At 50.1% G+C, this 22,619-nt stretch overlaps 1 protein-coding gene across 10 annotated transcripts, besides 4 other annotated features; it reads left to right on the top strand.

Annotated features, from left to right (window-relative positions):
- Positions 11-90: a silencer, noted in NCBI's record as "silent region_3422". NCBI's record gives its function as "represses an Ori minimal core promoter by ATAC-STARR-seq in GM12878 lymphoblastoid cells {active_cell/tissue: GM12878}" and the evidence as "EXISTENCE:reporter gene assay evidence [ECO:0000049][PMID:35858748]".
- On the top strand, positions 182-21,966 carry GANAB (glucosidase II alpha subunit). Of its 10 annotated transcripts, none has more exons than NM_198335.4 (25): positions 182-233; positions 7,064-7,168; positions 7,328-7,436; positions 7,685-7,812; positions 11,795-11,974; positions 12,420-12,485; positions 13,281-13,350; positions 13,524-13,611; positions 13,694-13,790; positions 14,050-14,230; positions 15,612-15,765; positions 15,959-16,194; positions 16,290-16,416; positions 16,519-16,598; positions 16,838-16,981; positions 17,111-17,207; positions 17,500-17,601; positions 17,783-18,026; positions 19,442-19,506; positions 19,671-19,747; positions 19,861-19,935; positions 20,111-20,224; positions 20,348-20,460; positions 20,630-20,730; positions 20,871-21,966. In NM_198335.4, exons 1-25 carry the CDS (start codon positions 196-198, stop codon positions 20,978-20,980), a joined length of 2,901 nt encoding a protein of 966 aa, NP_938149.2. In that variant the 5' UTR covers positions 182-195; the 3' UTR covers positions 20,981-21,966. The 10 variants fall into 10 exon arrangements, with proteins under 10 accessions (NP_938149.2, NP_001316152.1, NP_938148.1 ...); XM_047426649.1 differs by lacking the exon at positions 182-233 and adding an exon at positions 6,577-6,865; NM_001329223.2 differs by lacking the exon at positions 12,420-12,485 and having other exon boundaries at positions 7,064-7,164.
- Positions 701-860: an enhancer, noted in NCBI's record as "active region_4833". NCBI's record gives its function as "activates an Ori minimal core promoter by ATAC-STARR-seq in GM12878 lymphoblastoid cells {active_cell/tissue: GM12878}" and the evidence as "EXISTENCE:reporter gene assay evidence [ECO:0000049][PMID:35858748]".
- Positions 1,176-1,983: an enhancer, noted in NCBI's record as "H3K4me1 hESC enhancer chr11:62412284-62413091 (GRCh37/hg19 assembly coordinates)". NCBI's record gives its function as "activates a minimal SCP1, AML or CMV promoter by ChIP-STARR-seq in primed H9 embryonic stem cells {active_cell/tissue: H9 hESC(primed)}" and the evidence as "EXISTENCE:reporter gene assay evidence [ECO:0000049][PMID:30033119]".
- Positions 21,955-22,280: a silencer, noted in NCBI's record as "fragment chr11:62391987-62392312 (GRCh37/hg19 assembly coordinates)". NCBI's record gives its function as "represses an EF-1alpha promoter that drives an FKBP-Casp9 reporter gene in an ReSE screen in HepG2 liver carcinoma cells {active_cell/tissue: HepG2}" and the evidence as "EXISTENCE:reporter gene assay evidence [ECO:0000049][PMID:32094911]".

The raw sequence follows: 22,619 nt of genomic DNA, 5'->3' as shown, positions 1-22,619 counted from the left end.
TGGACGTTCCCGCCCCTGGCCTGAAGCCCCGCCCCCTGCGATAATTTGGAGTGCGCACTCTACCAATGAGACAGCTGCCCGGCGGCGCTCAGGTCGAACCAATCATAAGGCCGGAAGGGGCGGGAACTAGGATACGTGGCTGAGCGCGCGCGATGGGGCGGGAGGTTTGGGGTCAAGGAGCAAACTCTGCACAAGATGGCGGCGGTAGCGGCAGTGGCGGCGCGTAGGAGGCGGTGAGGAGCCCGGAATCTGGGGGCGCGCCCGGGACGCCCCCAGATCCCCCAAGTCCCATTCCACTCCTTCCTGTGTGTCTCTTGACACTCTGCCACCCCCGGCCTCGTGAGGAACCTTTGTTCCTCTGGAGGCGGCCTCAGACGCCTCCGGTCTCCCCGTGGTAGATCCGAGCGACGCTGGGGGCCTTGCCTGTGGGGCTCCGGGCTCCCGCCCGGCGGTTTAGTAAAGCCACAGCTGTGCGTCTTTCTTGGTCTTGGCCGCTCTCAGCCGCCGCCCTCCTTTGGCTGCTTGCGGCGGTCAACGTCGCCGCCCCCTTCCTGCAGTGCGCGGGGTCGTCGGGGCGGGGGAAAAGATGCGGCCTGGCCTCGGGGAATGCAGCCTGCGGCCCCGCGGCCCCTCGGCTGAGCTGGAAGCACCGGGCCAGCAGTTAAGCCTGTACTACCCTTCTGGCTCTACCCTGTAGAGCTCCGAATCCTCCTCTGCCCTTGTCTTCACGTGAGCACCAGCTCTGGCTTAGTTCAGTGTCCACGGTCGCTGGGCACGGCCCAGGGTCCAGTAAGCTCACGGCGTGGATGGTGTTGCTCAAACACAACATGTAATCGAATGGCTTGGTCCACGCTCTCGGGTTTATATTACTGGGGAAAAAAAAAGATTCGAAACATATCACCAGTGCCACAAATGTTTACTAGGACCTAACGGATATACTGGGGTGGGGTAGGCGTGTACTCTCCAAAGCGATGAAGAAAGCGTGGATCATAAACTCAGTTCCCTCGGAGCCTGTGATCTGAAACAATAAATGCGTGCAACTTGCCCTGCAGCTTATTCCTGACTTTGGCCTATGAACACCTCTCTTGGGGTGGTCAAGGCCGCCGTGAATTCCTTAGGGCCCTCCAACAGGTCATATCTGAAAGATGCTTTAGGAATCCTATCTCCATTGGCATCTTTCCGAACCAATTTTACAGACTGTGCAAATAGGGCCCCAGAGGGTATTTAACTCACTGTACGTCTTTTTTTTTTTTTTTTGAGAGACAGAGTCTCGCTCTGTTGCCCAGGCTGGAGTGCAGTGGCGAGATCTCGGCTCACTGCAAGCTCCGCCTCCTGGGTTCACGCCATTCTCCTGCCTCAGCCTCCCGAGTAGCTGGGACTACAGGCACCCGCCACCACGCCTGGCTATTTTTTTGTATTTTTAGTAGAGACGGGGTTTCACTATGTTGGTGAGGATGATCTCGATCTCTTGACCTCGTGATCCACCCGCCTCGGCCTCCCAAAGTGCTGGGATTACAGGCGTGAGCCACCGCGCCCGGCCTCAACTCACTGTACTTCTATTTACTGCTGCTTTTGGCAGGTGGACGTGGGTCAGTGGCCAAGAGTGCCTGTTGCAGTCACTCAGGTCACTCACTGCAGGACCTGTGCCGCATGCCTTGCTATGGAGTTTTGTGGTAGCATTTATTCTGCTTGGCCTATTAAACCACAGTGCCTAGTGTTTTCTTCATTTTTCTGTCTGGCCTGCTGTGGAACAGTTGTTTCGTACATTCCTCTGGAGCTGGAGGAGAGTCCTGTGATGAGATCATAGTACACTCTGTGATCTCATTTCTGGTAATTTTCTTTTAGCTTTCAAGCAGATGCTGAAGCTAATGCTAGATAACTAGATACAATGTGTATAATAGACCCTGTCTTTAGTTACCTTATTATAGGTTGTCAAATTTTATTTATTTATTTATTTGTTTGTTTACTTATTGAAACAGGGTCTCGCTCTGTTGCCTAGGATGGAGTGCAGGGGTGCAATCTCGGCTTACTCCAGCTTCCACCTCCCGAGTTCAAGCGATTCTCCTGCCTCATCCTCCCGAGTCCTGGGATTACAGACGTGTGCCACCGTGCCCAGCTAATTTTTGTATTTTTAGTAGACACCCCATTGACCAGTCTTAATTAATTTACTTTTTTGAGACAGAGTCTTGTGCTGTGGCCCAGGCTGGAGAGCAGTGGTGCAATCGTAGCTCATGCAGCCTCAAACTCTTGCGTTCAGGCAGTCCTCCGGCTTCAGCCTCCTGATTAGCTGGGACTACAGGCACCTGCCACCATGCCTTGCTACTCTTTTTTTTTTTTAAGTAGAGACGAGGTCTTGCTGTGTTGCCCAATCTTCCCTTTTTGACCTCCCAAAGTGCTAGGATTATAGACGTGAGCCACTGTGCCTGGCTGGTTGTAAAACTTTATTGCTTAGAAGAACCCTCCCACCCCCAGTTTGAAACACTTTCTCAGAGTATGCTCGTATTCTGCCCATATCAGTGTCACTGGGAGAGCATGTTTAAAATGTGGTGTCAGCCGGGCACGATGGCTCACACCTGTAATCCCAGCACTTTGGGAGGCCGAGGCTGGCGAATCACCTGAGGTTGGGAGTTCGAGACCAGCCTGACCAACACAGAGAAACCCCGTCTCTACTAAAAATACAAAATTAGCCGAGTGTGGTGGCACGCGCCTGTAATCCCAGCTACTTGGGAGGCAGAGGCAGGAGAATTGCTTGAACCCGCGAGGCAGAGGTTGCGGTGAGCCAAGATCGTGCCATTGCACTCCAGCATGGGCAACAAGAGTGAAACTCAGTTTCAAAAAAAATTAAAAATAAAATGCGGTATCCAGGGTGGGTGCAGTGGCTCACGCCTGTAATTCCAGCATTTTGGAAGGCCAAGGTGGAAAGATGGCTTTAGCCTAGAAGTTCAAGACAAGCCTGGGCAACTTTTTTTTCTTGTTTTTGAGACAGAGTCACACTTTGTCACCCAGGCTAGAGTGCAGTGGTGCGATCTCAGCTCACTGCAACCTCTGACTCCCAGGCTCAAACCATTCTCGTTCCTCAGCCTCCCCAGTAGCTGGGATTATAGGCATGTGCCACTACGCCTGGCTAATTTTTGTATATATCTATTTTTTTCTAGGTGGTGTTTCGCTGTGTCGCCCAGGCTGGAATGCAGTGGCACAACCTTGGCTCACTGCAACCTCTGCCTCCCGGGTTCAAGCAATTTTCCTGCCTCAGCCTCCTGAGTAGCTGGGACTGCAGGCGTGTGCCACCATGCCCTGTTAATTTTTTTTTTGTATTTTTAGTAGAGACGGGGTTTCATCATGTTGGCCAGGCTGGCCTCAAACTCCTGACCTCAGGTGATCCACCCGCCTCAGCTTCACAAAGAGCTGGGATTACAGGTGTGAGCCACCACGCCCGGCCTAATTTTTGTATTTTTAGTAGAGATGGAGTTTCGCCATGTTGGCCAGGCTGGTCTAACTCCTGATCTCGTGATCTGCCCACCTGGGCCTCCCAAAGTGCCAAGATTATAGGTGTGAGCTACCATGCCTGGCTGATTCTTAACAGACATTAAAATTTGAGAATCTCTGTTTAGGATTTATTCAGAATCCTAAGGATGAATCCTGGATGAATATATTCTTCAAACTAACTTATTTAAATAAGCCTATTAGTCTCTTATCTGTCATTTCATAGCACATTGGGAAATTGACAATTCGTGATAACCTTGGGATGATGGTCCTCAATGAGACAGGCCCATTTCATCCTGCTAGTGATTAGTGTGCTGTATTGTGCATCATGGTAAAGCACATGGGCCCCAGAGTCAAGCACAACTGGGTTCAGTTCGTTTCATCCCTTACCAGCTATTTAATCTTGGGTGAACTATTCAACCTTTTATGCTTTAATTTTCCCATCTGGAAATAAACCCCAACCCTATATTCACCAAGAAAACAATGGAAGAAAGGGAAAAGAAGATGCATGTAAAGAAGTGGTTGTGAACCCAGGTTGCTCATTAGAGTTGTTTAGGGAACTTTAAAAAAACTTTAGCCAGTGGGGCGCGATGACACAACGCCTGTAATCCCAGCACTGTGGGAGACTGAGACGGGCGGATCTAGGTCAGGAGTTCGATACGAGCCTGGCCAACATGATGAAACCCCGTCTCTACTAAAAATACAAAAAATTAGCTGGGCATGGTGGTGGGCACCTGTAATCCCAGCTGCTCGGGAGGCTGAGGCGGGAGAATCGCTTGAACCCAGGAGGCAGAGGTTGCAGTGAGCTGAGATCATGTCACTGCACTCCAACCTGGGTGACAGAGCAAGGCTCCATCTCAAAAAAAAAAAAAAAGTCTGATGCCCAGGCTTCTCTCTGATTAAGTTAAAATTTTTAGAAGTGAGACCAGGTCACTGATATTGTTAAAAACTGCAGGCAGGCTGGGCACAGTGGCTGACACTATAATCCCAACACTTTGGGAGGCCAAGATGGGAGGACTGCTTGAGCCCAGGAGTTTAAGACCAGCCTGGGCAACAAAGTGAGGCCCTGTTGCTACCAAAAAAAATTTTTATTTATTTTTTTTGAGTCAGAGTCACGCTCTGTTGCCCAGGCTGGAGTGCAATGGCATGATCTGCTCAGTGTAACCTCCACCTCCTGGTTCAAGCAGTTCTCCTGCCTCAGCCTCCTGAATAGCTGGGATTACAGGCCCCTGCTCCCATGCCTGGCTAATTTTTGTATTTTTAGTAGAGATGGGGTTTCACCATATTGGCCAGGCTGGTCTCTTTGCCAGCCTGGTCTCGAACTCCTGACCTTGTGATCCGCCCACCCCGGCCTCCCAAAGTGCTGGGTTTACAGGTGTGAGCCACTGCGCCTGGCCAGAAAAAAAACAAAAACCACAACTTTTTAAAAATTAGCTGGGTGCTGTGGCGAGCAACTGTAGTCCCAGCTACTTGGGAGGGTGAGGCAGGTGGATCACCTGAGGTCAGGAATTCAAGATCAGCCTGGCCAACATGGTGAAACTCCGTCTCTACCAAAAATACAAAAATTAGCTGGGCATGGTGGCGTGCTCCTGTAATTCAGTTACTTAGGAGGTTGAGGCATGGGAATTGCTTGAACCTGGGAGGCGGAGGTTACAGTGAGCTGAGATCATGCCATGGCACTCTAGCCAGGGTGATGGAGTGAGACTGTCTCAAAGCAAAAAACAAAAACTGCAGGCAGTATTAAAAACTAGTAATATAAAGTGATTACCCAGGCCCCTAGGGGTGCATTAGGGCTCAGAACATTTTAGCTATTGTTATTTTTTTTCAGCTTTGGGTAGTGATGGTGGTGTTTTGAAGATACAGGAGTAGAAATCAGAGAAACAGGCTGCCTAGGGTGCTAGGGATGTTAGGACCCTAGGAACTGTAACCAGCAGGCTAGCTGAGGGTACATCTTTTTTTTTTTTTTTTTTCTGAGAGTTTTGCTCCATCACCTAGGCTGGAGTGCAGTAGCACAATCTTGGCTCACTGCAACCTCTGCCTCCCGGGTTCAAGCGATTCTCATGCCTCAGCCTCCCGAGTAGCTGTCACTACAGATGCTCAACGCCATGCCCAGCTAATTTTTGTATTTTAAGTAGAGATGGGGTTTCATCATGTTGGCCAGGCTGGTCTTGAACTCCTGACCTCAAGTGATCCACCCGCCTCAGCCTCCCAAAGTGGTGGGATTACAGACGTGACATGAGCCACTGCGCCCGGCCTTCATGTTTAGCTCTTTAACTTTGCATCCACCCAATGCCTTGCCGATAGAAAGATGTGGCTTGCTTTGTTTCTCTGTTCCACGCATATGGTACTACCATTTCCTCTGAGACTGGCTGTTACTGCTCCTTTCCTCTGAGAGGCTGATGTCACCAGAGTCAACACCAGGGCCTCTGAAGGTGAAAGATCCTCTGTGTACTCTGCCTTTTTTTTTTTTTTTTTTTTTGAGAGGGAGTTTTACTTTGTCGCCCAGGCTGGAGTGCAGTGGAGTGATCTCAGCTCACTGCAAGCTCCACCTCCCAGGTTCACACCATTCTCCTGCCTCAGCCTCCCGAGTAGCTGGGACTACAGCTGCCCACCACCACGCCTGGATAATTTTGTGTATTTTTAATAGAGACAGAGTTTCACCGTGTTAGCCAGGATGGTCTCAAACTCCTGACCTCGTGATCTGTCAGCCTTGGCCTCCCTAAGTGCTGGGATTACAGGCATGAGCCACCGCACCCGGCCCTTTTTTTTTTTTTTTTTGGAGATGGAGTCTCACTCTGTCACCCAGGCTGGAGTGCAGTGGTGCGATCTTGACTCACTGCAAGTTCTGCCTCCCGGATTCATGCCATTCTCCAGCTCCAGCCTCCCAAGTAGCTGGGACTACAGACACCTGCCACCACGCCCGGCTAATTTTTTGTATTTTTAGTAGAGACGGGGTTTCACTGTGTTAGCCAGGATGGTCTCGATCTCCTGACCTCGTGATCCGCCCACTTCAGCCTCCCAGAGTGCTGGGATTACAGGCGTGAGCCACCGCGCCTGGCTTTTTTTTTTTTTTTTTTTTTTTTGTCTAGCTCTGTCGCCCAGGCTGGAGTGCAGTGGCACGATCTTGGCTCACTGTAAGCTCCGCCTCCTGGGTTCACGCCATTCTCCTGCCTCAGCCTCCCGAGTAGCTGGGACTTCAGGTGGCCGCCACCACGCCCAGCTAATTTTTTTTGTATTTTTAGTAGAGACAGGGTTTCACCGTGTTAGCCAGGATGGTCTTGATCTCCTGACCTCGTGATCCGCCCGCCGCAGCCTCCCAAAGTGCTGGGATTACAGGAGTGAGCCACCACGCCCAGCCTACTCTGCCTTTCAAAGGGAAGGTGTGAGTGAGCCAACTTCTCAGGCCTGATCCTTAACCCTGTGTCCACTCTGCCTTGTTTTGTATTTGATGTGACTACATCTTTCTCCCCTCTTTCCTCAACTATCTTCTAGTGCTATGACAGGAAGAAGCTTTTCCTTTTGAAGGGGGCCCCTTCTGACCTCCATGCTGATTGCTCTGTCTTTGTCCTTTTCTCCTTAGGTCTTGGGCGTCTTTGGTACTGGCTTTTTTAGGGGTCTGCCTGGGGATTACCCTTGCTGTGGATAGAAGCAACTTTAAGACCTGTGAAGAGAGTTCTTTCTGCAAGTATGATATTTCTGGGGGAGAGGGATGGAATGTAGGGTTGTAGGGTAATGTGGGAGATATCTGTGGCAGATGGAGTGCCTAAGGACACTGCAGGTGATAGACTGACTTAGGGACATTGCAGGTGGCCTTTACCTTACTTCCCAACCCTTCACTTGGCAGGCGACAGAGAAGCATACGGCCAGGCCTCTCTCCATACCGAGCCTTGCTGGACTCTCTACAGCTTGGTCCTGATTCCCTCACGGTCCATCTGATCCATGAGGTCACCAAGGTCAGGAGAGACAAGGAAGAGTCTGGTGGGGGTGGGGCAATGGCTGTGGGGTAATTTGGAAAGGGGGAAATTGTGGCCAACATCTTGTCCCAGCCTAATCTTTGGACTTTTACTTTATGAAGAAATGTGATCTTGGCCTTTAGGCAAAGGGCTCAAAGGAAGAAACCCCTTAGGAGAGAATGGGTTCAAAGAGCATTCCATGGTGTATCCCATTTCCTTTCTCCAGATCCAAACCTCTGTCCCCGCAGGTGTTGCTGGTGCTAGAGCTTCAGGGGCTTCAAAAGAACATGACTCGGTTCAGGATTGATGAGCTGGAGCCTCGGCGACCCCGATACCGTGTACCAGATGTTTTGGTGGCTGATCCACCAATAGCCCGGTAAATTTTTCCTGAGAAACATCCATTTCTGTGGCCCCTTTCTCCTTCCTGATGAACCTTTTTTTGGTTGCTGATATTCTTTCCCAAAATAAGGTAGTAGTTAACTAGCATAGCACCTTGCCATACTCCTCAACCTTTCCCCACCTCTTCTTCTGTTTCACTTTTCTCTTTATCCCTTTATCCTCATTCATTCATTCAGCAAACAATTATTGCTTTTTCCTCCCTGACAGGCCTGGGCTGGATGCTGGTTATATAAGCAGAAATAAACAAGGCCCTGTTTATTTACAGATCTCGTTCTCCAGGAATACAATGTCTACCTGCTTGCTTGTTTGCTTGCTTCCTTCCTTCCTTCCTTCCTTCCTTCCTTCCTTCCTTCCTTCCTTCCTTCCTTCCTTCCTTCCTCCTTTCCTTTTCCTTAGATATTCAGAATAGGATTACTCAGATTCTTGTGTCATGATACTCTGTCACCAGTGTTCCATGCATCCATCCATGACTTTCTCTTAAATACATAATTCAGAAAATAACATAGTGGCCGGGCATGGTGGCTCAACGCCTGTAATCCCAGCACTTTGGGAGGTCGAGGTGGGCAGATCACGAGGTCAGGAGTTGGAGACCAGCTTGGCCAACATGGTGAAACCCCATCTCTACTAAAAATACAAAAATCAGCCAGGTGTGGTGGTGCGGACCTGTAATCCCAGCTACTCAGGAGGCCGAGGCAGGACGGTTACTTGAACCCAGGAGGCAGAGGTTGCAGTGAGCCGAGATTGTGTCACTGCACTACAGCCTGGGCGACAGAGTGAGACTCCGTCTCAAATACTCCACCCTATAAACTCTTCACTCAGCCCAACCCGCACTGTCCTGTACCCTTGACGGCTCCAGACGTAGGTAGTCGTTATTCTGAAGCTTATCCTTCCTTTGCCTTTTTTTTGTTCTTACAGTTGTATTATGTGTGTATACATATGCACACATATGTCTGTGTGCCTAAGCAATAAATTATATATATTTTTTGTTTTTGAGCTTTACAGAGGAAGTGTCTTAGTGCATGTGGTCTTCTGGGGTTTCCGTTTTTTCTTTTTTTTTTTTTGAGATGGAGTCTCGCTGTCTCCCAGGCTGGAGTACAGTGGCGTGATCTGCGTTAGCCAGGATGGTCTCAATCTCCTGACCTCGTGATCCGCCCGCCTCAGCCTCCCAAAGTGCTGGAATTACAGGTGTGAGCCACCGCGCCCGGCTGGGTTTCCGTTTTTCACATAACTTTATTTAATTCCATTTCATATAGCTCTAGTTCATTCATTTTTACTGCTGCATATTATTATGTTGTATGAATATACCCCAACTGATTAATCCATTTTTAGGTTGATAAGCCTTGGGGTTGTTTCCAGTGTTTTGCTAGCCAAAGTGTTGCTACGAACCTTCTTGTACATGTCTCCTGTTATCCTTGCTTGGGAGTTTCTCTTTGGTGTATAACTAGGAGAGGAATTGCAGGATTGTAGAATATGGAGATGATCAGCTTCGCAAGATAAAGCCAAAGTGGTTTACCAATTTACACTTCCACCAGTGATTTATAAGAAGCCCTCATTGAAGCTGGGCAAGCCAGGATGGTCTCGATCTCCTGACATCGTGATCTGCCCATCTCAGCCTCCCAAAGTGCTAGGATTACAGGCTTGAGCCACCACACCCGGCCAGCCTTCCCTATTATTAATATGACTATGGTTCATTTGTGATACCTAGTGAATTGATAGTGATACATTAGTTACTAAAGTTCATACTTGAGGTTTCTTTAGTTTTTGTGTATGTTCTTTTTCTGTTCCAGGATTTCATCCAGGATATGTTATTACATTTAGTTGTCATGTTTCCTTAGGGCCCTCTAGACTGATAAAATTTCTTAGACTTTTCCTTTTTCTTAATGATCCTAAAGGTACTTTTGATAAACAGAAATTCCTAATTTTAATGTATTTAGATGTATCAGTCTTTTACCTTCTGTTGTTAGCCTTTTGTTTGTTGTATTTAGTCTTTATCTACCCCAAGGTCAGAAAAAAATATATATATATATATTTTTTGAGACAGAGTCTTGCTCTGTTGCTTAGGCTGAGTGCAGTAGTGCGATCTTGGCTCACCACAACCTCCGCCTCCTGTGTTGAAGCGATTCTTTCTTCAGCATCAGCCTCCCGAGTAGCTGGGACTACAGGCGTGCACCACTATGCCTGAGTAGCTGGGACTACAGGCGTGCACCACTATGCCCGAGTAGCTGGGACTGCAGGCTCATGCCACTATGCCCAAGTAGCTGGGACTACAGGCGTGCGTCACTATACCCGGCTACTTTTTGTATTTTTAGTAGAGACAGGGTTTCACTATGTTGACCAGGCTGGTCTCAAACTCCTGACCTCATGATCCACCTGCCTCGGCCTCCGAAAGTGCTGAGATTACAGGAATGAGCCACCATGCCTGGCCAAAAATATATTTTTTAATTTTCTTCTAACACTTTTGCTTTCATTTATTTACTTATTTTGAGATCGGGTTATGAGACTGGCTAATTTTTGTATTTTTGGTAGAGATGGGTTTTTGCCATGTTGCCCAGTCTGGTCTTGAACACCAGGGCTCAAGCGATCCACCTGCCTCGGCCTCCCAAAGTGCTGGGATTACAATAGTGGGCCACCGAGCCCATCCTAAAGCTTTTACTTTTAAATTTTAAGCAGGCTGGGTGTGATGGCTCATACCTGTAATCCCAGCACTTCGAGAGGCCAAGGCGGACAGATCACTTGAGGTCAGGAGTACAAGACCAGCCTGGTCAACATGGTGAAACCCCGTCTCTACTGAAAATACAAAACTTAGCCGGGCGTGGTGGTGGGCGCCTGTAATTCCAGCTACTCGGGTGCCTGATGCACAAGAATCACTTGAAACTGGGAGGCAGAGGTTGCAATGAGCCGAGATTGTGCCACTGCACTCCAGTCTGGGTGATAGAGTGAGACTATCTTAAGAAAAAAAAATTTTTTAAGTCATAATCTTTCTGCAGTTGATACTTGTATCTGGTATTAGATAGAAATATGATATCAAGGGGTTGGGCGTGGTAGCTCATGCCTGTAATCCCAGCACTTTGGGAGGCCGAGGCAAGTGGATCACTTGAGGTCAGGAGTTTGAGATTAGCCTGGCCAACATGGCGAAAAATCATATCTCCTAAAAATACAAAAAAAAATTAGCCGGGTGTGGTGGCACCTGCCTGTAATATCAGTTACTAGGGAGGCTGAGTCAGGAGAATCACTTGAACCTGGAAGGTGGAGGTTGCAGTGAGCCAAGGTTGTGCCACTGTGCTCCAGCCTGGGCAACAGAGCGAGACTCCATCTCAAAAAAAAAAAAAAGAAGTACATCATTTTTCTTCATATTTGGAAAATCATTTTTTTTCCTATATGGAAAATGTTTTTTCAGTTCCATTTTTGAATAGTTCTCCTTTCCTCTCTCATCTGCTATGCCACCTCTTAGTATTTAGTACATTTAAAAAAGTAATAAGTGGCCAGGCACAGTGGCTCACGCCTGTAATCCCAGCACTTTGCGAGGCCGAGGTGGGTGGATCACCTGAGGTCAGGAGTTTGAGACCAGCCTCAACATGAAGAAACCCCATCTCTACTAAAAATACAAAATTAGCCAGGTGTGGTGGTGCATGCCTGTAATCCCAGCTATTTGGAGGCTGAGGCAGGAGAATTGCTTGAACCTGGGAGACGGAGGTTGCGGTGAGCCGAGATTGCGCCATTGCACTCCAGCCTGGGCAACAAGAGTGAAACTCCGTCTCAAAAAAAAAAAAGAAAAAAGTAATAAATATGCTTGGGTCTGTTTCTGGGCCCTTTGGTTCTGTTTATTAACTTGTCTATCCCTGCTCTGTTACCACACTGCCTATTTCTCTTAACAGGTAGATTTCCCCCGGTCTTCTAAAGTGTCATTACTCCTCTTGGCCCTTTGTACTTCCTTATATTTCTTTTGATATGTTTCCCAGGCTTTCTGTCTCTGGTCGTGATGAGAACAGTGTGGAGTTAACCATGGCTGAGGGACCCTACAAGATCATCTTGACAGCACGGCCATTCCGCCTTGACCTACTAGAGGACCGAAGTCTTTTGCTTAGTGTCAATGCCCGAGGACTCTTGGAGTTTGAGCATCAGAGGGCCCCTAGGGTCTCGTGAGTACAGGGGTTGGGACTGCAGGGAACCTAGTGTGAAAGAGCATAGGGGTGTTGTGAGGTCTGGCACGGGGAGGAGACGGTGGTGGGACAGCCAGGTAGGGCCTGGGGGCTGGGAGAAGCTCTCTGTCAGGGAGGGTAGGAACCAGACCCGGGTGCGGTTTTTTCCATTTCCTGTACAGACCAGGAGGCAGTCACTTTTGTCCCTGAGCTGTACCCTGGGCATCTCTGGGAGGCCTGCCTGGGTCTGTGTCTCCTTCTTCCCCTTCTCACATCATCACATTTCCCAGATTTATTTTCTTCGTTTTTATTTATTTATTTTTTTTGGTTTCTTTTTCCCCCCATCTCTGGAAGTTTGTCGACTGAAACTCACTTTTATGTTTCTGTTTTTGTGTTGGTTTTGTGCCTCTTTTTCCCCTTCCCTACCCATCTCCTCCTGCCCCAGTTTCTCGGATAAGGTTAATCTCACGCTTGGTAGCATATGGGATAAGATCAAGAACCTTTTCTCTAGGTAAATCCATGGCCACCGGTACTGTATCTGTTCCTCTGCCCTTACCCATTCCTCACTCTAGCCTTTGGGGGGAGGTGCCCCAGACCCTTCCAGCCTTTCACTCACCCCACTTTCCCCTGCTGTGTGATGTCTGGTCCTGTTACCTGTTACCCTGGCTGGGAGCCCCCAGAAGAAGGAAGGTGAGATACTGAAAGTCAGGTCCTTCGGGAATGTAGGGAGCTTATTGCTTTGCCAGGGGATGGAGAGATGCTGCCTATTGCTGGGGTTCCTGACTCTCAGCTGAGGGGCACCTGAGGTTCTGGGCAGAGCTACTTGCCCTTGAAAGCATTTTTTGGCAGAATCTCTTGAAGTCCCTATGTATGTCTGTAGAGGCTTGGTATAGTATGACCCACATGCCTTTGCAAAGCCATTGTGTCAGGCCAGGAGGCTGAGGCCCAGGGAGAGCACTTGGGGCCAGAATCTCTCAGTAGAGGCAACAGAGCCAGGATTGGCATTCATAACCCAGGCCCCTGAATCATTCTGCCTTTCTCTTCTGGGATGTTGACAGAGGCTGGTGTTCAGGCCTGTGCCTCCTGGTGGCACTTATTCCTCATTTTCCTTTCTCATTTCTCTCCCCATCCTTTGCAAACTTATCTGCTCATTGTGGGTTCCCTCTCCAAGCTTTAACATTTAGTCCCTTCCTCCAATGCCTTCGTTCCTTTGGACCCTTGGCTCTCTATTCCCCAACCCCTCCTTCCACTAGCCCCTCGTCCCTGCCCCCTCTGGATTGGAGCAGACAGCTCTCCTACCTTCCAGGCAAGGATCAAAAGACCCAGCTGAGGGCGATGGGGCCCAGCCTGAGGAAACACCCAGGGATGGCGACAAGGCAAGTTGGAGCGGGTGGGTGGTTGGAGGATAGGGCTGGCTGGGAGGGTGGAGGGGAGAGGCCCATGAGAAACTTGAACTTAGTCTCCCCATCAGGGATGGGATTTAGTTGATGGGAGCGGGGAAAGAGAGAACTGGTATGATTGGAGAGTGGTCCTCTTTTCTTCTTAACAGCCAGAGGAGACTCAGGGGAAGGCAGAGAAAGATGAGCCAGGAGCCTGGGAGGAGACATTCAAAACTCACTCTGACAGCAAGCCGTATGGTGAGGGGCTCGGGTTCCTTGGGCTGGGGTGCAGGGCTCCTTTCCAAGCAGAAGCTCTGAAGCTTGTTTGTTTTTCTTCCAGGCCCCATGTCTGTGGGTTTGGACTTCTCTCTGCCAGGCATGGAGCATGTCTATGGGATCCCTGAGCATGCAGACAACCTGAGGCTGAAGGTCACTGAGTGAGTCCTATGGTGACATCAGGAAGATGGAGGTGGGCAGGAAGGAGTCAGGCCTTTAGGGAGATGGGTGTGCATATTGGATACTCTAGGCAAGCATGGGTCATTTCTTGTGTCCAGAATCACCTTTGGTGATAGAAAATTTTTTGAGAAAGGACAAGAGGAGCCTTTGCTTATCTCTCACCTGTGTCTGTGGAGTGGTGTTAGCATATAACGCAGCCTGGGGCCAGTTAGCAGCCCAAGTCTGTCTGTTTGCCTGCAGGGGTGGGGAGCCATATCGCCTCTACAATTTGGATGTGTTCCAGTATGAGCTGTACAACCCAATGGCCTTGTATGGGTCTGTGCCTGTGCTCCTGGCACACAACCCTCATCGCGACTTGGGCATCTTCTGGCTCAATGCTGCAGAGACCTGGGTTGATATATCTTCCAACACTGCCGGGAAGGTGAGAGCACAGGCACGGGGAAAAAGGAGGGAGTGAAGCTTCCAGGCCTTGAGGCAAATAGGTATACTAGGGGCATTAGCTATTTGGGGACTGGGTTTAAGAAGGGGCTGTGGGCCTGGTGGGCAGCATTTGAGTTCCCTAATCACTCCCAGGTGACACGCTCACTCACATTCTTAGGGAAGGCATTGCCTATTCTGGGCTGACGGAATGCACTTATTATCAGTGTGTTACGTGCTAGGTACTCTTCTGGGTGCTGGGGATATAGTGTTAACTGAGGTTGAAAAGGTTCTGGGCTGGGTGTGGTGGCTCATGCCTGTAATCCCAGCACTTTGGGAGGCTGAGGTGGGCGGATCACCTGAGGTCAGAAGTTGGAGACCAGCCTGGCCAACATGGCGAAACCTCATCTCTACTAGAAAAACAAAAATTAGCAGGGTGTGGCGGCGGACTCCTGTAATCCCAGCTATTCGGGAGGCTAAGGCAGGTTAATTGCATGAATCTGGTTGGTGGAGGTTGCAGTGAGCGGAGATTTCACCACTGCACTCCAGCCTGGGTGACAGAGTGAGACTCTGTTTCAGAAAAAAAAAAAAGAAAGGTTCTGACTCACAGGGAGGAAGACACGTTAAACACATAACAAAGGAGGCAAGATGGGGCCGGGCATGATAGCTCATGTCTGTAATCCCAGCACTTGGGGAGGCTGAGGCAAGAGGATCGCTTGAGGCCAGGAGTTCGAGACCAGCCTGGGCAACATGGCGAGACCCCATCTCTATAAAAACGTTTGAAAAATAAAAATAATAAGCAAGATGATGCCGGGTGCAGTGGCTCCCACCTCTAATCCCAGCACTTTGGGAGGGCGAGGTGGACAGATCACAAGGTCAAGAGATCGAGACCATCCTGGCCAACATTGTGAAACCCTGTTTCTACTGAAAATACAAAAGTTAGCTGGGTGTGGTGGTGTGCGCCTGTAGTCTTAGCTACTCGGGAGGCTGAGGCAGGAGAACTGGTTGAACTGGGGAGGTGGAGATTGCAGTGAGCTAAGATCACACCATTGCACTCCAGCCTGGCAAAAGAGTGAGACTCTGTCTAAAAAAAAAAAAAAGAATGCAAGATGAGTTTGGGGTGATTAAGTGCTAACAAAGACATGAAAGAGAGTCTTTGTTAGCACTTAACCACCCCAAACTGGTGGGGTAGGGGTGGGGGCTGTACTGCTTTAGATAGTGTGGTCTAGGAAAGCCTCACTGAAGAGGCCCCGTTTAGTCTTACCGAAAGCAGCTTACATGAGCCAGCTCTGTGTGGACTCTGGGAGAAAATTGCTACTTTTTGTCTTGGGGTTGGAAAATGGGAGGGCAGGAGGTGTCTGACCCCTTTGTGGTCACCTATACAGACCCTGTTTGGGAAGATGATGGACTACCTGCAGGGCTCTGGGGAGACCCCACAGACAGATGTTCGCTGGATGTCAGAGACTGGCATCATTGACGTCTTCCTGCTGCTGGGGCCCTCCATCTCTGATGTTTTCCGGCAATATGCTAGTCTCACAGGTACATGGTTTTCCCTGCCTCATTCTTCTGCTCTTTTCTTGTCGGGTGATTCTATGTGTTTTCAGAGATCCTGTGCCCCAGCTTGTTTTCTAGGTTTATACCCCTCAGCCTGCCTCTAGTTCACAAGCCTCCCTCAGTTTCTGGGTGTTGGGCCTGATCCTCGTTGTGACCCCCATCCCTCATGAACCTGCAGGAACCCAGGCGTTGCCCCCACTCTTCTCCCTCGGCTACCACCAGAGCCGTTGGAACTACCGGGACGAGGCTGATGTGCTGGAAGTGGATCAGGGCTTTGATGATCACAACCTGCCCTGTGATGTCATCTGGCTAGACATTGAACATGCTGATGGCAAGCGGTATTTCACCTGGGACCCCAGTCGCTTCCCTCAGCCCCGCACCATGCTTGAGCGCTTGGCTTCTAAGAGGCGGAAGGTAAGGGGTTGCAGTCACGCTTGGTCTTCTCAGGGTAGGGCTGAAGCATAGTTTAGCCTTAAAGAGACCTGAACACCCCTGTTCCTTGCCCCCAGCTGGTGGCCATCGTAGACCCCCACATCAAGGTGGACTCCGGCTACCGAGTTCACGAGGAGCTGCGGAACCTGGGGCTGTATGTTAAAACCCGGGATGGCTCTGACTATGAGGGCTGGTGCTGGCCAGGTAAGCAGACCCAGAATTGAGGGAGAGTTGATTGGCCAGCGGGGTAGAATGGTGGCTCTTTTGCCCCTTAGGGGATTGAGAGCCACCCTTAACTTCTCCCAGGCTCAGCTGGTTACCCTGACTTCACTAATCCCACGATGAGGGCCTGGTGGGCTAACATGTTCAGCTATGACAATTATGAGGTAGGGAAGGCCTCTCCCCATGACCTGCGTCTGTCTGTTCCACCTGCCTCCCTGAATCTCTCTCGGCTTGCCAACCCTTCTATGGTTGATTGCCTGCAACATATCAGGGGGCCTTGATGATCCGGGGAGGGCCCTGAAAAATGCATCTTTTTAGATTCCTAGGAGCTCTCTTCTCTGACACTGTTTGTCTTCTTCCTCCCCTCTGTCCTTCTGTCCCCATTTTCTGCCCACGTTCCCAGGGCTCAGCTCCCAACCTCTTTGTCTGGAATGACATGAACGAACCATCTGTGTTCAATGGTCCTGAGGTCACCATGCTCAAGGATGCCCAGCATTATGGGGGCTGGGAGCACCGGGATGTGCATAACATCTATGGCCTTTATGTGGTAAGGGCCTGAGAGAGGAGAGTTGGTGGAAAGAGGGAAAACAGCCCAGAGACTGAGGGCCTAGGGAACTTGCACCAGATGACAGCTGGCTTTTGCTCCTCACTACCCGTCTCTTCTCTCCTCACCCAGCACATGGCGACTGCTGATGGGCTGAGACAGCGCTCTGGGGGCATGGAACGCCCCTTTGTCCTGGCCAGGGCCTTCTTCGCTGGCTCCCAGCGCTTTGGTAAGGTTTAGAGAATGGAGCTGTGGCAGAAGGGTGTGAAGGCCAGATCTCAGGAGCCATGGACCTGGACCTGCCTCTCTGAGGAATGGGAGCCACACACTGCATCTGTTTCCTCTCAGCTATGCGCTTTGAAGGAAGTCAGGGTGTGGGAGGTCCACTCCTTGTTCAAATGTTCTTGTGAACTGCATCTTCAGCAGGGTTCTGGGGACCCAGAGCGGATGTGGGAGGTCAGCCATGTAAAAAGCTGAACTCCTTTACCATGTGCAAGCTCCCCACTTCTTGTCTTCCTCAGGAGCCGTGTGGACAGGGGACAACACTGCCGAGTGGGACCATTTGAAGATCTCTATTCCTATGTGTCTCAGCTTGGGGCTGGTGGGACTTTCCTTCTGTGGGGGTAAGACAGGGAGGAATTTGGGGTCTTGGTTTGGTGGGAAAGGGGCAAAGTAGAGGGCACAGGACCAAGGTGTTGTAAGCAAAGAGAGTTGAGAGTCCAAGTTAGGGCCTTGGGAAGTTTCTCAAGCAGTATCTCTCCTTCACCCTCTTTTCCAACCTGCTTCCTCTCTCTCCTCTACCAGCGGATGTGGGTGGCTTCTTCAAAAACCCAGAGCCAGAGCTGCTTGTGCGCTGGTACCAGATGGGTGCTTACCAGCCATTCTTCCGGGCACATGCCCACTTGGACACTGGGCGACGAGAGCCATGGCTGTTACCATCTCAGCACAATGATATAATCCGAGATGCCTTGGGCCAGCGATATTCTTTGCTGCCCTTCTGGTACACCCTCTTATATCAGGCCCATCGGGAAGGCATTCCTGTCATGAGGTGAGGCATTCACTTGGGCTGTGAAGAGTGGGCTGAGGTGGCTGGGGGTATTAGGGACTGGGCTTCATCTCTGGGTCTCTTTCTTCACTCACTACAGCCTTGTAAAGGATGGAAAATCATTAAGGTCAAGAGTGAAGGGGAGCTTAATGGAGATGAATAATAGTAAACATTTAAAGAAAATTGACAGCAGTCATAAGCTCTTTCAGAAAAATAAAACAGGGTAATGGGATTAGGTGGTCATAAAATCCCTTTTTGAGGCCGGGCACAGTGGCTCACACCTGTAATCCCAGCACTTTGGGAGGCCGAGGTGGGCAGATCACCTGAGGTCAGGAGTTTGAGACCAGCCTGGCCAACATGGCAAAACCCCATCTCTACTAAAAATACAAAAATTAGCTGGGCATCATGGCGCCTGTAATCCCAGCTACTCGGGAGGCTGAGGCATGAGAATCACTTGAACCCAGGAGGTAGAGGTTGCAGTGAGCCGAGATTGCTCTGCTGCATTCTAGCCTGGGTGACAGAGGGAGACTCCATCTCAAAAAAATGAAAAAAAAAAAAAAAAAAAAGTTTTGAGAAGAAGGCTGTGTGAGATGAGGCCTGAATGAGTGGGACAGACCATGTTATGTAGGAAGAATCTTCCAAGCAGAGGGAATTGCAAGTACAAAAATTCTAAAGGAGAAATTAGTTTGTTATGTACTAGGAATAGAAAAAAACAGTATGTCTTGGGTAAAGAAGCAGAAGGAGAGCTAGGAGATGAGATTAAGAAGAAAGTGTGATCTGCTCCTGGAGGGCCTTGCAAGCCAGGGTTGCAACCCAGGGTTGTAAGCCAGGGCGGTGAAACATGCAAGGAGGCTACTGGCAGGCTGCTGTGCAGCATGGTTTCAGTAGAGGGCAGAGAAGAAGCAGGGAGATGGCTTAGGAAGTTAAATGTCTAAGACTGGATTGTATAACTGAGACCTGAACCCCAACCCGACTGTCTGACTGCAAACTCCTGGGTCTTAACCCCTGTGCTGTTCTTTTCTTTTCTTTTTTTTTTTGAGACAAAGTCTCACTCTCGTCCCCCAGGCTGGAGTGCGATGGTGTGATCTTGGCTCACTGAATGCACTCCGCCTCCCGGGTTCAAGTGATTCTCCAGCCTCAGCCTCCTGAGTAGCTGGGATCACAGGTGCCTGCCACCATGCCCGGCTAATTTTTGTATTTTTAGTAGAGACGGGGTTTCACCATGTTGTTCAGGCTGATCTCGAACTCCTGACCTCAGGTGATCTTCCCGCCTCGGCCTCCCAAAGTGTTGGGATTACAGGTGTGAGCCACCACACCCGGCCTATGCTGTTCTTTTCTTATTGCCAGTTCCTGGAGGAGCATTTCTGACTTGTGCCAAAATTGAAAAGTTTTCCTTTATTGTCTTTCTTCCTTCCTAGGCCCCTGTGGGTGCAGTACCCTCAGGATGTGACTACCTTCAATATAGATGATCAGTACTTGCTTGGTGAGAAATGAGGATAGTTGGTGGTGGGTTGGCTTTGGGCCAAGCAGCACTGCGGATGCCCAGGGAGGGACTAGTGAAGCTGGTGGTGCAGAGGGCAGGCACTTTGGTGTTCCCTGTTCTGGGAACTAATCCCCCTATTCAGAGTTGATTCTGGCATATTTTAGGGGATGCGTTGCTGGTTCACCCTGTATCAGACTCTGGAGCCCATGGTGTCCAGGTCTATCTGCCTGGCCAAGGGGAGGTGAGTTAAGGAAGGGCATGGTGGGGAAAGATGGTGGAAGCCAAAGGAGGCAAACAGGACGGGACCCCTGTGCACTGAGTGATCCGGTATCTTACCTCTTTTGTCACTCACAGGTGTGGTATGACATTCAAAGCTACCAGAAGCATCATGGTCCCCAGACCCTGTACCTGCCTGTAACTCTAAGCAGTGTGAGTAAGCCTGGTCTGGCTGCCGGTTCCATCTCCCTGTAAATTTCCAGAAGGGGAGGGAATGTGTGCCTTAGGGTCCAGTACCTATGTGGGCATACATGAGTAAGCAAAACATGCTGTGGGGCCCAAGGTTGGACAAGGGGGCAACTTCATCCTGGCATTGCTCTTGCCCTAGATCCCTGTGTTCCAGCGTGGAGGGACAATCGTGCCTCGATGGATGCGAGTGCGGCGGTCTTCAGAATGTATGAAGGATGACCCCATCACTCTCTTTGTTGCACTTAGCCCTCAGGTAAGTGCATAGGCAGCGAGTCTCCTCAGCCATTTGCCTGCCTTCCTAGGACTCAGTTCTCTGGGGTTGTGCCCCTCACTCCCTCTTGGGCTCAGGCGCTCACCTATCCCACTTCTTGCTCAGGGTACAGCTCAAGGAGAGCTCTTTCTGGATGATGGGCACACGTTCAACTATCAGACTCGCCAAGAGTTCCTGCTGCGTCGATTCTCATTCTCTGGCAACACCCTTGTCTCCAGGTAATGGGTCACCCACTCTTCCTTGGCTGCCTTTGCTGGGGCCTGATCCTTGTGGGGGCTCCCAGTTCACTGTGCTCTTTTCTCACATTCTGACCTTGCTTTGGGTCTCCTCCTTCCTTCTGTTCTGTTATTTTTCCCCCTGATGGACATCTGCTTTTACCATCTCCAGCTCAGCAGACCCTGAAGGACACTTTGAGACACCAATCTGGATTGAGCGGGTGGTGATAATAGGGGCTGGAAAGCCAGCAGCTGTGGTACTCCAGACAAAAGGTGAGTGACCAATCTGGCCCCTAGGATGGGGGAAGGAGGGGAAGCCGGGGCAGGTTTAGGGATGCCCTTGCCTGTAGGAACGTTGTTGTTATGCTATAGCCCATTGGTATGACTATGGCACTCTTTTATTCCTCCTCCAGGATCTCCAGAAAGCCGCCTGTCCTTCCAGCATGACCCTGAGACCTCTGTGTTGGTCCTGCGCAAGCCTGGCATCAATGTGGCATCTGATTGGAGTATTCACCTGCGATAACCCAAGGGATGTTCTGGGTTAGGGGGAGGGAAGGGGAGCATTAGTGCTGAGAGATATTCTTTCTTCTGCCTTGGAGTTCGGCCCTCCCCAGACTTCACTTATGCTAGTCTAAGACCCAGATTCTGCCAACATTTGGGCAGGATGAGAGGGCTGACCCTGGGCTCCAAATTCCTCTTGTGATCTCCTCACCTCTCCCACTCCATTGATACCAACTCTTTCCCTTCATTCCCCCAACATCCTGTTGCTCTAACTGGAGCACATTCACTTACGAACACCAGGAAACCACAGGGCCCTTGTCGCCCCTTCTCTTTCCCTTATTTAGGAGCCCTGAACTCCCCCAGAGTCTATCCATTCATGCCTCTTGTATGTTGATGCCACTTCTTGGAAGAAGATGAGGGCAATGAGTTAGGGCTCCTTTTCCCCTTCCCTCCCACCAGATTGCTCTCCCACCTTTCATTTCTTCCTCCAGGCTTTACTCCCCTTTTTATGCCCCACCGATACACTGGGACCACCCCTTACCCCGGACAGGATGAATGGATCAAAGGAGTGAGGTTGCTAAAGAACATCCTTTTCCCTCTCATTCTACCCTTTTCCTCTCCCCGATTCCTTGTAGAGCTGCTGCAATTCTTAGAGGGGCAGTTCTACCTCCTCTGTCCCTCGGCAGAAAGACGTTTCCACACCTCTTAGGGGATGCGCATTAAACTTCTTTTGCCCCCTTCTTGTCCCCTTTGAGGGGCACTTAAGATGGAGAAATCAGTTGTGGTTTCAGTGAATCATGGTCACCTGTATTTATTGCTAGGAGAAGCCTGAGGGTGGGGGGAGATGATCATGTGTGCTCGGGGTTGGCTGGAAGCCCTGGGTGGGGGGTTGGGGGAGGACTAATGGGGAGTCGGGGAATATTTGTGGGTATTTTTTTTACTTCCTCTTGGTTCCCAGCTGTGACACGTTTTGATCAAAGGAGAAACAATAAAGGGATAAACCATAAATAACTGGTGGTAGTCTGGATTCTAGTTCTAGCCTGAGCCACAGACCCTAGAAGCCTAGAGACCTTACATTTGCTTTCCTTTTTTTTTCTTTTTTGAGACTGAGTCTCACTCTGTTGCCCAGGCTGGAATGCAATGGCATGATCTGGGCTCATTGCAACCTCTGCCTCCCAGGTTCAAGCAGTTCTCGTGCCTCAACCTCCCGAGTCGCTGGGACTACAGGCATGCGCCACCATGCCCAGCTAATTTTTGTATTTTTATTAGAGATGGGGTTTCACCATGTTGGCCAGGCTGGTCTGGAACTCCTGACCTCAGGTGATCCGCCTGCCTCGGCCTCCCAAAGTGCTGGAATTAAAGGAGTGAGCCACTGCGCCCTGGGTCTTTTTTTTTTTTTTTTTTTTTTTGAGACAGAGTGTCGCCAGGCTGGAGTACAGTGTGTGATCCTGGCTCGTTGCAACCTCTGCCTCCTGGGTTCAGGCAGTTCTCCCACCTCAGCCTCCTTAATAGCTGGGATTACGGGCACCTGCGACCATGGCCAGCTTCATTTTTGTATTTTTAGTAGAGATGGGGTTTCGCCATGTTAGCCATGCTGATCTTGAACTCCTGACCTCAGGTGATCTGCCCGCCTTGGCCTCCCAAAGTGCTGGGATTACAGG

Source organism: Homo sapiens, chromosome 11 (genome assembly GCF_000001405.40).
Source record: "Homo sapiens chromosome 11, GRCh38.p14 Primary Assembly".
Lineage (NCBI taxonomy): Eukaryota > Metazoa > Chordata > Mammalia > Primates > Hominidae > Homo > Homo sapiens.
The sequence above is the reverse complement of the archived record's forward strand: the minus strand, read 5'-3'. Positions and strand labels throughout refer to the sequence as shown.